This window comes from Homo sapiens, chromosome 16 (genome assembly GCF_000001405.40).
Source record: "Homo sapiens chromosome 16, GRCh38.p14 Primary Assembly".
Taxonomy (NCBI): Eukaryota; Metazoa; Chordata; class Mammalia; order Primates; family Hominidae; genus Homo; species Homo sapiens.
Window position 1 is genome coordinate 8,583,895 of NC_000016.10, and position 17,727 is coordinate 8,601,621.

General features: G+C 47.6%; 1 protein-coding gene across 5 annotated transcripts in view; it reads right to left on the reverse strand.

Annotated features, from left to right (window-relative positions):
* TMEM114 (transmembrane protein 114) overlaps positions 1–6,617 on the reverse strand; it is a 63,960-nt gene extending 57,343 nt beyond the window's left edge. For 2 of the 5 annotated variants that reach the window (NR_110736.2, NM_001290098.1), the window contains exons 1-2: positions 5,725–5,944; positions 5,319–5,399 (exon numbers count right to left, since the gene is read on the reverse strand). Coding sequence is in view for 4 of the 5 variants with exons in the window: in NM_001290098.1 (NP_001277027.1) it covers positions 5,319–5,399; positions 5,725–5,944 (301 nt within the window). In the remaining variant the exon portion in view is untranslated. Of the gene's footprint in view, positions 1–5,318; positions 5,400–5,724 lie in introns of all 5 variants that reach the window. The other 3 variants (NM_001290095.2, NM_001146336.2, NM_001290097.2) reach the window with 2 other exon arrangements.

The window sequence follows — 17,727 nt, forward strand, 5'->3', positions numbered from 1 at the left end:
CCCTTATCTGTGGAGCTGATCCCAACCCACTCCAGTTACAAGTGGGCACATGACTCAGCCCGGCCAATCAGCATATTCCATCCCCTTGGCTGGAGGGATTGGCTCAGGACTGAGCATGTCACCCAATGTGGTCCAGTGGAAAACCTAGCTGCAAGTTTGGTGGAATTCATGAGAAACAGAACGTCTCCCTTTTTAGGGTTGCTAAGGTGGGAGAGGATTTAGCTGAAAGCAGAACCCAAACAGAAGAAAGCAAAGCCCAAAAAGAAGAGGAAAGAAATTGAGTTTAACAGTGGATTCCAGCAGACATGAGCTTTTCAGTTACATGAACCAGTGATTTCTTTTTTTATTGAAGCCAGTAAGATTTGAGTTTCTGTCACTTGCCACCAAAAAGTTCCTGGCTGATACAGCTAGACTGGATCATTCTAGACCATAGCTCTTTAATCTACACTGTGCTGAATTTGAAGACCTCCTTTCCACCAAAAATAATTCCAGTCCCTAGCCCAAGAAACAAACCCACGACTTCCCCAGAGCTAACCTGGAAGATGAAACACTTCAGCAAAGTGGATTTTGCTGACAAGGAACCTGTTTCATTGAAAACTTCTCTCTGTGGCTGAAAGAGTGGAGGTTATTGGGATGTACCTGTTTAAGGACCTGATATGTCTGCTCAACTCCACTCTCCCAAGGTAGCTAAGCAGAATTAAGGAGGTGTGTTAGTCTGTTTTCATGCTGCTAATAAAGACATACCTGGCTGGGCGTAATGGCCCACCCTGTAATCCCAGCACTTTGGGAGGCCGAGGCAGGCAGATCACCTGAGGTCAGGAGTTTGAGATCAGCCTGGCCAACGTGGTGAAACCCCATCTCTACTAAAAATACAAAAATTAGCCGGGTGTGATGGTGGGCATCTGTAATCCCAGCTACTTGGGAGACTGAGGCAGAAGAATTGCTTAAATCCAGGAGGCGGAGGTTGCAGTGAGCCGAGATCGCGCCATTGCACTCCAGCCTGGGCTACAAGAGTGAAACGCCGTCTCAAAAAAAAAAAAAAAAAAAAGAAGAAGAAGAAGAAAAGAAAAGAAAAAGAAAAAGACACACCTGAGACTGGGTAATTTATAAAGGAAAGAGGTTTAATGGACTCACAGTTCCACATGGCTGGGGAGGCCTCACAATCCTGGCTGAAGGTGAATGAGGAGCAAAGTCACGTCTTACATGGCGGCAGGCAGGAGGGTTTGTGCAGGGGAACCCCCTTTATAAAACCATCAGATCTCAGGAGACTTGTTCACTATCACAAGAACAGTATGGGAAAGACCTGCCCCAATGATTCAATTACCTCCCACCAGATCCCTCCCACAACACATGGGAATTAAGGAAGCTACAATTCAAGATGACATTTGGGTGGGGGCACAGCCAAATCACATCAGGAGGCAAGTTAGATCATGGGACTTCCCTAACAGTCCTCCATCTGCCAGGTGATTACAGTAAATTACTTGGCACTGAAGTGGTCTCTCTGTGAGGGTTTTCTTAGAGGAAAAATCAAGGTTTCTTCCCATACACCCCCACCAGGATTTATCTAGGAGGCTGAACTTAGAGAACATGCTGCTTGTCGAACGTGCTGCTTGTCAGCTAGCTTCTCCTCTATGGCCTCTGCAGCAGGTCCTTAAAGGAATGAAACATCTTCATATAATAGAAGAGCTTGGACCAAACTCAAAATTCATTTTGGAAGAAAAAGACATTATGCGGAGAAAAAAAAAAAAGCTCTTTCTGGGGGTGATTTGCAAGGAGTACATGGTATGAAGGGGCAGCTTGTCCTTTTTCATGGAGGATATAATGGGAATAATAGCAGCTACCACTTACAGCACACTTCCGGAGGCCAGACACCACATTAGGCTCTTTAAATACACTGTCCTGTTTTAGCCTCACAATAACCTTACAAAAAGAGATGACAATTATCCTCATTTTGCACAGGAGGGAACTGAGGCTCAGAGAGGTATAAGGAAATAAGGAAAGGCCCATGGCCACATGCCTACTTGGTGGTGAAACTGCGGGTTAGCCCTAGGACTGAGGGTGAACGAGTGAATAGACTGTGGATGTGAGTTCTGCTCTGTCTCAAAATCCTGAAACAAGCATGGTTGTTGCACTGTCAAGATTGAAGAGGAAGCCAGCCCAGTGCCTATTGTGGTTAGCCATCCAATTGACCCATGGATGTGATAAGTCAGCTGAATGTGCACACCCAGCTTGGCAAAGGATCAGCACTCCATTGATGTTACTACCTCTAGAAGGAGGCTGGAAGGAGGGGCAAAGGGAGAGCTCATGCTTACTGAGCACTTACCATATGTCTGGAAACTCGATGTCAAGTCATTCCTTTCTGACAAGTCTGGTCATTCCTTTATGACTGGTCCTAGGCAAGGTCCGTTTTGTTTATCCATTTTTATTCCCTCTCATGGAAGTCTAACCATATCCCTTGATGGTGTCCACATCTCATTTTGACGGATGTGAACATTGAGGCTCAGAGAGGTTAAGACACCTATCCCAGGATCACAGAAGGCCTCTGTTTTGTAGGGGTTTTACCTGGGACATGACCCTCATCTCCCTCACTTCCATGACCGGAATTCTTATCATTCTTTTTTTTTGTTTTTTTTTTGAGAGAGTCTCACTCTGTTGCCCAGACTGGAGTGCAGTGGTGCAATCTCAGCTCACTGCAACCTCTGCCTCCCAGGTTCAAGCGATTCTCATAACTCAGCCTCCTGAGTAGCTGGGACTACAGGCAGGTGGCACCACACCGGGCTAATTTTTGTATTTTTAGTAGAGATGGGGTTTCACCATGTTGGCCAGGCTGGTCTCAAACTCCTGACCTCAGGTGATCTGCCTGCCTCAGCCTCCCAAAGTGCTGGGATTACAGACATGAGCCACCACGCCTGGCCGAATTCTTATAATTCTTGAAACAGTGCTTCAAAGACACTCACAGTTTCCCCTTGTGCAGTTTGGGGCTCAGAACAGAGCACACGGTACCTCCACCTTTCCTCAACTCCCACACATTCCAGGTGTCTAGGGTATGTCTCCTTTGGTGGAACTTAACTCAGTGGTGTGCTGGAGCTGACTCATATCAACTCACAAGAGCCAGTTAAGCTTTTGAGAATTTTGTGAGCCAGGTAACATCATGTTGGTGTCTTGAAATTGGCCATGGTGGAAGTATTTGCACCACAGAAATAGGCAAATGCTACAAACCAGGGCTTTTTTTTTTCTTTTAATTTTGCAGAGATCCAGTTGTTCAATATTTCCCAGCATGCCTCTGGACTTTAGAGAAACAGTTCTGGTTCACCATAAACCCATATATTCATACAATAAATACATATATTGAGCTCCACCTACAATATAATATAATTTGCATTCACTAACATGTTTGTTCAGCAAACTTTGACTCATGGGCTACTATGTGCCAGGTTCTATGCTAAATATTGGGAATTCAGCAGTGGCAAGATAGACATGGTCCTTGTCCCCATGGAGCTTTCAATCTAATGAGGGAGTCAGATTTAAACCCCACCCCACAAAAAAGTCATACAATTTGCACTTAGCAGTTAGCCAAGTCAAGTTGGTGGGATAAAAGCAGGGAGATTCCAGGTGGAGGGAACAGCATGTGCAAAATATTTGTGGCAGGAGGAAACTTAGCATGTTCCAAGAACTGGCCAAGGCCAGCACAGCTGGAAAGAAAGGAGTAAAGCGGAGAATGGGGCTGGAGAGGGACCCTACCAAGCCTTGTGGGCCATGCTAGGCACTTGTCTTTATTTTTTTATCCCCAGCCTCAGTAAGTCTATCAAAAACTGCTCATGCCTATAATCTCAGCACTTTTGAGAGACTAAGGCAGGAAGATTGCTTGAGCTTAGGAGTTTGAGGCTGCAGTGAGCTAAGACCGTGCCACTGCATTCCAGCCTGGGCAACAGAACAAGACCCTGTCTCTGGGTAGGGTTGAGTGGAGGGAGAAGGCCAGGCACAGTGGCTCACACCTGAAATCCCAAGACTTTGGGAGGCCAAGGCAGGAACATCACTTGACCCAGGAGTTCAAGACCAGCCTGGGAAACATAGTAACTATGTTTCCTATCACTATTAAAAAAAAACTGATACCAATGCAGTGGCTCACACCTGTAATCCCAGCACTTTGGAAGGCTGAGATGGGCAGATCACTTGAGGTCAGGAGTTCGAGACCAGCCTGGCTAACATTGTGAAACTCCATTTGTACTAGAAATATGAAAAATTAGCCCGACGTGGAGGCAGGCACCTGTAGTTTCAGCTACTCAGGAGGCTGAGACAGGAGAATCGCTTGAACCTGGGAGGAGGAGGTTGCAGTGAGCCAAGATTATGCCACTGTACTCCAGCCTGGGCAACAGAGCAAGACCCTGTCTCAAAAAAAAAAAAAAAACCTGCCCACATTTTCAAAGTCTATGAAACTCAGTCTTCATTTCCTCATCAGATCCTCCTACAGAACCTCTCTGGGCCTCCTCATTGGAAAAATGAAGGCAGAAATGACGATACTAATAACTTCATAGGGTGTGGCTGTGGGAATCAAATGAAGACATAGATGAAAAGCAGTTCGCTCCACGTCTGGCTTATCTCAAGCCTCAATGAATTGAACTGTTAGGTTTATTTCCCTCCCTCCACAAATGCTCATTCATCCCATTTCCTTTCTTGCTTTCAGTCCTCACAACTTTTACTGAGTTCCAGGCACTGAGCTGGGTACTAAGAACCAACCAGGAATAAGAGGGACGCAGTGGACCTGAGAGGAGGGGCTGTTCCCACCTCCTAATTGCCTGGCTCCAATCATATATTTATATGCAAATTTCTATCGCACCCCACTACTGCAAAGCCCTTGTTCTAGGCAATGTGAATACAAACAACGCTGGCATGGAATCTGTGGAATGAGACCTCTCTTTCACCATTCACCTCCCGAGGCTAATTTAGGTCCCTGCAGGGGCTTCCCACCTTCCCTTCCTCACGCTGCTGGACTCTAACTGCGCGTCTCCACATTTGTCCCAGCACCACTGTGAGCCCCTTGAGGGGATGGCCTGTGTCTTAACCATCCATCAAAACGGTGCAAAGAAAGCCATTAGTCAACGTGAGCTGAATGAACCCTAAACCACAAAACGTTACAGGTGGATCAGGAGAGACCCTGCCCCCCGGTCTTAAGCCCACTCCATTCTCAGGCTGGGCTGTCAGAGGCCACCCCAGCCGCCCTCTCCGCAGGCCCCGAAGCCCGGCTGTTTTGGGAAAGGCTCCAGAACTCACGGCTAGGACCGGGGCGCTCCCTCCATCCTCACCCTCCCCGGACTCACTGAGAAGTTGCCGGCTCGATTCGCTGACTGTCACGTTCTCCAGCCTGAAGGGGTTCATCAGCGGTGTGCACGGGCTCTGCACTGGATAGGACGGAGGAATCCATGGGTGCAGGACCCCGGAGTTCTGTGCAGCACCCTCGTCTGCGGCTTTGCCCCCATGCTCACCCTAAGTGCCCCACCCGGGGAGGGCGCGGGGAGAGCTAGAGCAGTTGGGATCGCAGCCGGGTGCCTCTCGGAAGGGTTTTCGCAGTCCCGGCCTTCTGCTCACCTTCCCCCCGAGTCCCTAGACATTGTATTTTAGGGACTTGGGGGAGGAGTGCGCGCCAAGCAACAGGTCCCAAGGGAGCAGGGCACCGCGCAGGGGGCGTTCGCAGCCACAGCTCCCAGCCACGGGGTGCACCCTTACCCCGGCAGGTCCGCCAGAGGCCGGAGTGGGAGCTCAGAGGCTCGGGCTGGCTGCGATTGATGGACCCCAGCAGGTCCTGCGCCCCCGGGCCAGTCCTCTCCAGCCGCTCGGTGTCAATGATATACCAGAAGTCCGTGCCGATGGCGGCCGCCAGGAGCACAAAGCTGAGCGCCCCGGTCAGCGCAGCCGCGCCGGCCAGCCCGCCCAGGTGCACCCGCATCGCCGAGCCCAGGACCAGCAGCCGCGGGTTCCAGTGGCCGCGGCGCGACCCCTCTGCTCCTGCCCCCGTCCCCAGCCGGCCACCGCGGGCTCCCAGCTCCACCGCCGCCAGAGCCGCGGAGCTCAGATCTGAAAGCCTTTCCTTTGGACCCCGGGCCCTAGCTTAGACCCTGGCTCCTCACCTGCCGGCTCCGACCTGCACGCGCCCCCCGCTCAGCCGCCGTCCACGTTCCCACCCCTCCAATGCCAGCTCTACCTGCAGACCCCCTCACTCTCACTTGTGCTGTCCGACCTCCACCTCCGCCTTCAGACCCTCCTGGAAGCTCTAGTCCTTCCCCACCAGCACCTTAACCCACCTCGTCCCTCAGCCCCACTCCACCCTCGGCCCTCCACGCCCAGCCCAAGCGGACTCTCTCACTTCAAAATCCTCACTTTCCCCAGACTCCTACTCCCTCCATTCCCCTGCCTCACTCTCCACGAACCCTCCCCACGATCCCAGATGCTCCCCTCTCTGCCTCTGTCTCTGGATTTCCGCCCCAGCCCTTTTTCTTGGCCCCACACTGCCAGATCCCCACTCCCAGCCCTGCTCTCCAGGGTCTTCCCGCAGCTCCTGCTCTGGCCGGGGCGCAGCTGACCCTCTGAGCCCTCCTCCTCGCCGAGGAAAAGCTCGGAGTGCGCACGCAGCATGGACGGGGGCGGTCCCCAGCCCTGGAGCGCTGGAGGCTGCCGGTGTGGAAGGGCAGGCGGCCTTGGGACCACCTGGGGCAGAAAGAAGGAGGGGTGTGGCGGGCCTCACAGTCCCGCCAGGATTTGCAAATCATCTCCAAGAGCCCCTCCAGCTCCAAGTACCCTTCCTCCAAAATCCACCTTCGAGTGTAGTCTGGGCTGACTAGAATGTGAAAAGGCACATTAATTTTTCATAAAAGTTCTCTAAAGCACTGAGGTAGTCCAGGTCCTCAGAATCTATCATTTCTACCCCCAAAGTCTTTCTTCATTATCATAGCCACCAGCATTGCCACCATCATCACCACCACCACCATCACCATCATCAACATCACCACCAACAACAACACAATCATCACTACCATCACCATCATCATCACCACCATCACCAGCAGCAGCATCACCAACAGCACCACCATCACCATCATCATCATCACCAACAACAACACCGTCATCACTACCATCACCATCATCATCATCACCACCATCATCACCAGCAGCAGCATCACCAACACCACCACCATCACCATCATCATCATCACCACCACCACCATCACCATCACCACGGACAACACCACCATCACCACCATCACCATCATCACCACCAACACCGCCATCATCACTACCATCACCACATCATCTTCACCACCATCACCACCACCACCACCACCATCACCACCATCACCACCACCACCATCATCGCTATCACCACCATTGCCATCGTCATCACCATCATCATCACCACCACCATCACCACCACCACCACCATCACCATCACCATGGACAACACCACCATCACCACCATCACCATCACCACCACCATCACCACCACCATCACCATCACCACAGACAACACCACCATCACCACCATCACCACCACCACCACCATCACCACCATCACCACCATCACCACCACCACCATCATCACTATCACCACCATTGCCATCGTCATCACCATCATCATCACCACCACCATCACCACCAACCACCACCATCACCACCAACCATTACCACCACCATCATCACCACCATCACCATCATCATCACCACCATCATCACCACCATTACCACTATCACCACCATCATCATCACCACCATCATCACCACCATTACCACTATCACCACCACGGTCATTACCATCACCACCACCATGACCATCACCATCATCATCACTACCACCACCAGCACCAGCACCACTCTCCTCTTTATCATCACCATCACTCTTATCAATTCCACCATCTTCTTCACCACCATAAAACCTTTTACTCCTTCAAGAAATACTTCCGGTACCTTCTATGTGTCTGATGCTATAGTCTATGTTAAGAATATAGGCATGAACAATCCAAAAACAAGTCCTGCCCTTAAGAAATATAGGATTCAGGCTTCCCAGACTTTTACAAAGTAGGGGACACAGAGAAAATACCTATATTTGCATGGCTCATTAACAGAAGAGGCTTCCAGATACTGGGGATGACCAATCCTCAGGAGTTACAGCTACTAAAGACCCCTCAATGCTGACCTTATGGCTGAGGAATCAAAATCTTGGCACTCCTGTGATCCATTCGTAAGGGACCATTGTATCAAGGTCCAAAAGTTGGTAAGTGCTGGTCAGGTTGGAAGAGAATCATCAAAGCGTGCTTACGACAGGGTGCTATGAGAGAAAGTATCAGAGGGGAGATCTCACTGGGCTTCTCTGAGGAAGTGACATTGATGCTGAGACATGAAGGTTATAAAAGTATCCGTGTCTAGAGAATGGCTTATAGAGGGGTTTGGTCCATTCTAGAGAAATCGAAAGAAGGGCCATCAGGCTAGAATGTAGTAAGGGAAGAGCAACCAGAGGGAAATGAGATTGAGGGTATAATAATTTGTCAGGTCATGCAGCTCTTGAGATCCATGATAAAGAGTTCAATTTTAGTCCAAACCACTGAACCGTTTTCAGCACAAAAGTAAAATGTTCTAACTTACGTATTAAAAAAATCTCACTATGCTTGCTGTAGTGTGGAATATAGAATATAGAGAGACAAGAAAGGGAACAAGAAGGCCACTTAGGAGGACATCGTAGAAGAAGAAGCAAGATCCTGCTGACTTGGGCTAGGGTGGGGGCAGCAGCGAGCAGAGAGTGAAGTGGATAGAGTTTTTAAAAGTTGAGGGAGTAGAGTTGTTAGGGCTCGGTGATAGGCTGGGGTTGAGAGTTATCCTTTCCCTTTATTCTTCCTTCCCAATACCACCTTAATCTACATCACTGTCATCCTCATCTTCATTATCAAGGGCATCAGCACCCTGGCAGAGCTATCACCAGCAAGAATACACTCTCCCTTGATTCTGCAGACCATTCTGTTTCATCACCCCGCCACCACTATCTTGATGAAGATAGATCTTTTCCAAAACCATCATCACTGATAATTTTGCTGTCACCTCCATCACACTACTACTGTTATCTTTACTTCCACCATCATTAAAATAGTCCTCACCGTCGACTTGAGAGATGTAGGTAAAATTCAGTTGAGGCTGATCCCAGGAGCCCTTACAATGTCTTTGAGATTCAATCTCTTCCCTCTTCCTCTTCTTCTTGCCACCTCTCAGTTGTTTTCCTCTTGCTTGACTTCATTTTTCAAGCAGGCTCTCATTTGTTCAATCATAGGAGCCAGTTTCACAGCTTAGCAGCTCCAAGAAAAAGAAATAATCTCTCTCTCAATAGTGCCAGATCCCCAGAATTAAATCTCATTGGCCTGTTTTTGGTCATGTGCCCGTCTCTGAATCAATCTCTATCATTCAAAGGGACCAGATGTGCTAATTGGCCAAGCCTCAGTCACCCGTCTACTCTTGGAGCCAGAGTGGGAGAAGTCAGACCCACCCTAAATATTTGAGTCCAACTATGATAGCAAAGATATAGAATCAACCTAAATGCCCATCAATGGTAGATTGGATAAAGAAAATGTGGTAGGCTATACCATGGAATACTATGCTGCCATAAAAAAGAACAAGATTATGTCCTTTGCAGGAACACGGATGGAGCTGGAGGCCATTATCCTTAGCAAATTAACACCGGAACAGAAAACCAAATATTGCATGTTTTCACTTACAAGTGGGAGCTAAATGATAAGAACACATGGACACATAGAGGGGAGCAACAAACACTGGGGCCTACCTGAAGGTGGAGAGTGGGAGGAGGGAGAGGATCAGAAAAAAAAATAACTAATAGATACTAGGCTTAATACTGGGTGATGAAATACTCTGTATAACAAACCCCTGTAACATGAGTTTATCTACATAACACACCTGCACATGTACCCTTGAATTTAAAATAAAAGTTTATTTTAAGCCATTTGAGCTGAAATACATTACGATTGCTAAATGTGGCAAATAAAAATATAGGAAATCCAGTTAAATTTTAATTTTAAATAAATGGTGAATTATTTTTCAGTGTATGTCCCATGCAATACTTGAGGTATACTAGAAAAACTTCGTGTTGTTTATCTGAAGTTAAAATTTAACCAGATGTATCCAGCAAACCTAGCTGGCTCCCACAAGAAAAAGCGAGGTGCCATTATGAGAACCAAGAGAATGGACAATGGCAGGCCAAAACAGGGGATGCCCCCTGCACCCACCATGGGCCTGTCCCTTCACTGGGTCCCACGTTCCTCATCTATACAAGGAGACCTTCTTCCAGGCTCCTAGGCAACCTTATAGGTTTCGAAATTGTATTTTCCCTGAGGGTTTTAATGTACTCCACCTAAATCATGCTCAGTCACTCTAAAAGGAACAGAAAGTAATTTTTTTTTATGATTCTGGGGAGGAGAGGAGCACGTCAAACATCACGTAATATCATTACTCAGCCAGTCAACTGAAGAAGCATGATAAAACCTGAAATCTCCCAAGGCCAGATCCAAACAAGCCACGGCATTTAAGATTAAGGCTACACCAGGCACCGTGCTATCTCACTACAGCATGGGGGAGCACAACGTTCATCAGGGATTGCAGAGGCTGGTTTTGAGTCTTAAATCAGCATCTGACAGCTGTCTGAGCCCAGAGAAGTTATCTATTATCTGGGCGTGGTGGTGAGCACCTGTAATCACAGCTACTCGGGAGACTGAGGCAGGAGAATCGCTTGAACCCAGGAGCCAGAAGTTGGTGTGAGCTGGGATTGTGCCACTGCACTCCAGCCTATGTGGTAGAGTGAGACTGTCTCAAAAAATAAGATAAGTGGAAAGCACTTTCAGAAGTGTGGAGGGAAATGCACGTTAAGAATGAAAAGAGGAAATATTAAAAGAAAGAGAAGGAAAAGGCTGGGAATAGTGGCTCATGCCTGTAATCCCAATGCTTTGGGAGTCTGAGATGGAGGGATCGCTTGAGGCCAAGAGTTCCAGAACAGACAGGGCAACATAGCAAGACTCCATCTCTACTAAAAAAAAAAAATTAAAAAATTAGCTAGGTGTGATGGCACACCTGTAGTCCCAGCTACTTGGGAGGCTGACGTGGGAGAATCGCTTTAGTCCAAGAGTTTGAGGCTGCAGTGAGCTATGATCATGCCACTGTACTCCAGCCTGGGCAACACAGTGAGACCCTGTCCCTAAAAAAATAAAAAATATTTATTTTTTAAAAAGAAGGAATAAAGGAAGAGGGAGGGAGGTATCAGGGTGTAGGGAAGAAGGGTTACCTCTTATTATGAAGCACTGAGGCATCACAGGGAAAAAAATGATATTTAAAAAACAATTAATGAGACCTGGATTTGGCTGTCAGCTCTTTTACTCACCAACATGTGAATATGAGTAAGTCCTTTTTTCCTGGAGCCTCAGTTTCCCTATTTCTACATGTATCTTAAATATAGAGTTGCAGAGGGATTCAATAAGACAATGTATAAAAAGCGTCTGAAACATAGTAGATGTTCAATAAGTCCATGAATTCCCTTCCCCTTTCCCAGTTCCCAGAAAGCTCTGTGGCCTAGACGGTTTGTCCTAGCCCAGACTGAGCCCAGATGGGTCATCAGGGAAACCTGGGGGCATCAATTAAGCATCTAAGGCAGAGCACATTGGCTCACACTTGTAATCTCAGCACTTTGGGAGGTCAAGGCGAGAGGATCACTTGAGCTGAGGAATTTGAGACCAGCCTGGGCAACATGATGAGACCCCTGTCTCTACTAAAAATACAAAAAAAAAAAAAAAAGTCAGAAGTGGTGATGTGCACCTGTGGTCCCAGCTACTCAGGAGGCTGAAGTGGCAGGATTACGTGAGCCTAGGGGGCGGAGGTTGCAGTGAACTGAGATTGCGCCACTTCACTCTACCCTGGGTGACAGAGCGAGACCCTATCTCAAAAAAAAAAAAAAAAGCATCCACCCCAGGTCATTGCCACACCCACAAAGTCCTCACAACTATTCAATCAGAGAGATTATGCATGCCCATTTTACAGATGCAAAAGCTGAGGTTCAGAGTCTGAGCAACTTGCCCAAGGTCAATAACTTTGCAGAGATGGAATAACTGTCTGACTCAACAGATGACCACCCATGAGTGCCCTGAGAACTGAACTGTTAATCTCCTTCTCGATCTCAGGGCATTACCTCCTCAGGAGACAGAGCTATCATCTCCTCTGTTGCCTTCACAGAAATATGGAAGCCATTCAGTGCTCTTCTCACCCGAAAGGCCCACAACCAAGACATCACCAACTCCTATCAGTTCTACTTCCAAAATGTATTATGCATCTGCAACTCTCCATCTTCACACTTATGTCATTAATACCAACCATGATTGTTTCTTGCCTGGATGCTATAAAACCTCCTACCTGGTTATAACCAACTGTCATTTCCAAACATGGTAGCAACAATATTGCCCATGCCACAGGCTCTTCTCCAGTGGACTTTGCCACTCTCCAGCAAAATGATGACTGTACTTCTCCACTGCCTCAAAGCTGAGGAGGCCTGTGCTTGTTTTCACCAATAGAATTTGGCAGAAGGGATGCTGGGCCAGTTCCAGACACCACCCTTAACTGGCCTGGGAGCCTCCATTTTCAATCTCTTGGAAGTTGGCAACCATATAAGGATGGAAATTCCTGGAGACCACCCTTCTGTGAGAAGCCCAGGCCATGAGGAAAGGCTGGAGGATGAGATGCCAGAGAGTGGGTGGGTGGGACCAGGAAACACCAAGGTGCCAGGCTTTTGAGTGGAGAAGCCATCTTGGAAGTAGACCCTCCAGCTCCAGCAGCTCCATCTGCTGCCACATGGATTAGAGATGAACCACCCAGCTGAGCCCTTCCTGAATTCCTAAACCAGAAAAGCATTAACAAAATAAAACAGTTGTTTTCAGCCAGAGAATTGGGGTGTAGCTTGTTACACAGCTATTGATAACTTGAACACTGGTGTCCCTGCGTCTGCTGTTGTCTGCCATTGCCACACTGCCACTATGACCATCCATTCTTACAAGAGCCTGCATGGTCATCATGAAACACAACTCAGAACATGTCATTCCTTTTCCCACAGCTCCTTTATGGCTTCGCATTTGCTAAGGCAATCCTACCTGAGGCCTGTCCCCACTCCCAGCCTGTGTTACTTCAGGTCTTCTAAGAAGCAGACACAGACAGGGTTAGATCTACAAGGCTTTCTTTCACTAGGAGAAATACCAGTGTGAAAGGGAATAGAGTGGAGGATAAATAGCCCCCAGTGATCTCACCCATTAGGGCAGGGGAAAGCTCTGAGCATGTTCTACTCTGGATCCCAGAGGTTCCCAGGGAGACTGAGTTGCAGCTCCCCAAAGTGGTGACCTGCTCAATAGCACATCTTATATTGATTTCCTTTTCTTCTCCCTCCTGCATCTCAATTCCCCACTCCTGTACCAGGGCATCCTAGGATAACCCTCCAAATAAAATTACTTGCCCTCGGCCAGGCATGGTAGCTCATGCCTGTAATTCCACCACTTTGGGAGGCCAAGGCAGGTGGATCACTTGAGGCCAGGAGTTCGAGAATGGCCTAGCCAACATGACAAAACCCCATCTCTACAAAAAATTAGCTGGGTGTGGTGGCACATGCCTGTAGTCTCAGCTACTCCGGAGGGAGGCTAAGGCAGAAGAATCGCTTGAATCTGGGAGGTGGAGATTGCAGTGAGCCAAGACCAAGCCACTGCACCATAGCCTGGGTGACACAGCGAGACTCCATCTCAAAAAAAAAAAAAAAAAAAAAAATTACTTGCCCTTAAATCCTTATCTCAGGGTCTACTTCCAAAAAACCCAACCTAAGACCTGTTATCTAGCACTCTTACACCTTCAAAGAGACCTTCCTAATAGTAATTAAGGAATACTTAACAATGAAGTTATTTGCTAGCTACGTGTCTGCTCCTTTGGACTATAAACCTCATTCAGGCAATATGCTAGATACTATAGGATGGCTCACTCAACACCATTCAGATTCACTTCCCTTTCACATTTCTAGATCCGTTCCAGCCAGTAGTGGCCATGTGACATAATTCAGACCAATCAGATAGACACAGAGTCTATTGGGAATGGCTCCCCCAAGCAAAACGACAAGGCCTTGGGAGAAGGCTTTTTGTCCATCTGGAATGTAAATGTGATGTCTAGAAGTGCAGCAGCTATTTTGCAAACACGAGGATAAACCATCCGTGATGGCAAAAACAGAAAGCGGCAGAGACTTGAGCACCCAATAGTATCATTGAACTTTGCAACTCTCCATTGACTGAACATATGAACACCCAATAGTATCATTGCCCCATCTTTGATTTGCCTACCTCCAGAATTCTTGTTACAAGATAAAAATGAACCCTTATCTATTAAGCCATTAACTTAGAGTTGTCTGCTATTTGCAACGGAATGCATTGTGAATTGATGCAGACAGGGATTGCATTGGTGCTATCCAATGGGCATCATTGGCTTCGGGGTTAGTATGTGACACACAGTATGTGTGTAATAGAAATTTGTTGATTTAATAAACGAATCCTGCAAAAAGTCTCTTCTTGCAAGCACAGAGCTTATTTTGTGGGGCTGTAAGGAACTGTAAGGAACCAGCTGAAGGCTTTAGAAATATAGCTGGGATGTGGTACAGTTATTAAGATTGCTGCACTAGAGAGAAATGCCTCCTCTCTGTATTAAGTTTCATGAAGTCATGATGTTCTGCTGGTGAACTGGACTCCCTGGACCTGACCTGTGCATAACCATTTAAGTGTAAAGCCTTTATCCGTCCATTAAGGACATCTAGAAGAGCTAGCTGCCACTCTCCATACCCTAGGTGATGTAATTAGCTTAAAATGAAAAGAGATCAGTAACCCACTGGTCTAATTTTGCCATTACCCACCTGGCATAACACCAAGAGATTAAAGCCTGGGTCTGAGCTCTCTTTCTTTGGGGAAACTTCTTCCCAAATTGGAATAAAAATCCTCAACCAGAGAGAAGCTTCTTTCAGGTATCACACAGCCGAAGGGAAAGAATTTAGACCAGGAACCAGGACAGCTGGGTTCCAGCACCAGCTCTGCCACTAGCCTGCTGAAAGGTCCTGATCTGGTTACTTCTCCTTTCTGGGCCTCAGTTTCCTCATCTGTAAGAGGGGCTAGTAAAAGCCCTTCTCTAGGAATCTATTCCAGTGATAGCTGATATGTGCTGGATTGTGACAATGGGGCAGGCACATCAGGCACATTCCTGTTTGAAGCTTCACATCAATTTTGGGAGAAAAGTATGCCTAATGCAACCATGTTACAGATAGAAACACCAAGGCTCAGAGAGGTTGAGTAAGTGAATCAATATCACACAGCTATTAAGTACAGGATCCAGGATTCAAACACAAGCTTGTCTAACTTCAAAGCCATGCTTTGAATGTGGGATTGGTTTCATGCATTTCGGTAAAAGAGCATAAAGCAAGACTAACATGTAAGAGATACTCAGTCCATATTTATTTATTTATTTAGAGACAGAGTCTCGCTCTGTCGCCCAAGCTGGAGTGCAATGATGTGATCTCGGCTCACTGCAAACTCTGCCTCCCCGGTTCAAGTGATTCTCCTGCCTCAGCCTCCCAAGTAGCTGAGATTACAGGCACCCAACACCACATCCAGCTAATTTTTGTATTTTTGGTAGAGACAGGGTTTCACCATGTTGGCCAGGTTGGTCTCCAATTCCTGGCCTCAAGGGGTCCACCCGCCTCGACCTCCCAAAGTGCTGGGATTACAGGCATGAGCCACGGGGCCTGGCCTCAGTCAATATTAACTCATATGGCCTGACAATAGCTTAATGTGAGAGATATAGTGGAAAGAATTGAAGTATCAAAGAAACCTCACTTCAAATGCCACCTCCACCCCTTATTTGCCAAGGGACACTGATCAACAGTTTTAGTTCTCTGAACTTCATTTTCCTCTTCAGAAGAATGAAAGTAACGATACCAAACTCACAGAGTTATCGTCGAAATTAAATTAGACAATATATGACAGGCTGGGCATAGTGGCTCACACCTATAATCCTAGGATCTTGGAAGGCCATGGCATGGAGGATGGCTAGAGCCCAGGAGTTTGAGACCAGCCAGGGCAACATAGTAAGACCCCCTCTCTACAAGTAAAAAATTTAAAAATTAGCTGGACGTGGTGGTGAGCACCTGTGGTCCCAGCTACTTAAGAGGCTGAGGTGGGAGGATCACTTGAGCCTAGGAGGTCAAGGCTACAGTGAAAGAAGAGAAGACATAAAGACAATCCTGACTGTGAGATTATAAGGACATGACTTGGAATCACTCATGCCAAGTCCTGAGCAGAGTCTCAGGCAGCCCATAAAAACAGCTAGTAAACATTAGCTCCAGCTATTAGCTCAAGTCCCTCTCCTACGAAACGCCATACGGCAGCTCAGAGTTTGACCCAGCAAGGTCACACAGCTAATAAGGCATGGACTTGGCATTTAAACACAGGCCTAGCTCCAAATTCAAGGCTGTTGTTGCTACCCGGGTATTAATCTGAACGATTAGGTCTGACACCTTCTTCTGTGTCCAGTGCCACAGACAGCAGACAGCCTACCCATCTCCTCCACGCTGAAAGCATTTGCAGTTTGCCAGGAGTCAGCATCTCTACAGATTGTTAAAGCCAGAATTGCCACATCAACGCCCAGCGTCAGCCTCCAGCCAGCTCCGCCCACCCCTGCACGCCCTCCGTGGCCAGGGCATACAAAGGCTATGCTAGAAATTCACTGACAGAGATTCTGAACATCACAGGGGATGGTGGGTGTGGGGACAGGAGTCAGCCAGGTGTCCTCAATCATGTTGCCTTGAAACTGCTTGCTGCTGTGGCCACTGGCACCCCACTCCCCCAGCCCAGGCCTGCAATGACAGCCTTTGAGAGACAGATTTTGTCCTTCTCCCTACTGTTGCTTGGTGGGGATCCAGGAAGGGGCCAAGCACTAGAACCACAGAGCTGGGAGAACCCTTAGCATCTGCCCATCATATTACAGAGAAGAAAAGTGAGACCCAGAAAAGAAATAGAACAGTTACTCAAGCCCTCACCAAAGACAAGAAGAAAGGTTTCTTGGTTCAGCCCAGCCACGGCCTTCCTCCAGAGCCCATTATGCTGACTGTAGACCCCACACCTCCTCTGATAGAAACAATATCTGCCTCCCAGGATTGTTGGGTTCATGAAAGATGATGGCTGCAACCAGTGTCTGACACATAGCAGGCATTCACGTCTAGTAAGTGGTGCTGTTGTGATGACTATCACTGTTGTCAACCCCAATATTGTCATTGCACCATCATCATCGTCACCTTCATTCCTGAGCTCCTCTCATCCTGTTCCCTCTTGTTCAGGCCTACGTAAGTCAGACATAAACGTCTAAAAATCTGTCCATGTATTTAAAGCACTTCTTTATTGAGCAACTACTATACGCCAGGCACTAAGGATACAACAGGAATAGGACAAGGTCTTCTGCGTCCTCCAGGGAGCTCACAGTGTCCTGCAGAGAACAGAAAAGGAAAGAAATACATGTAACAATGTGTCACACCTGTAGTCCTAAAAATAAGTCAAAATAATACAATTTAATGATAACCACCATTTGCTGAGTGCTGAAATAAAAAAGGGCTTCCCATGCCAGGGTGTTCACATAGCC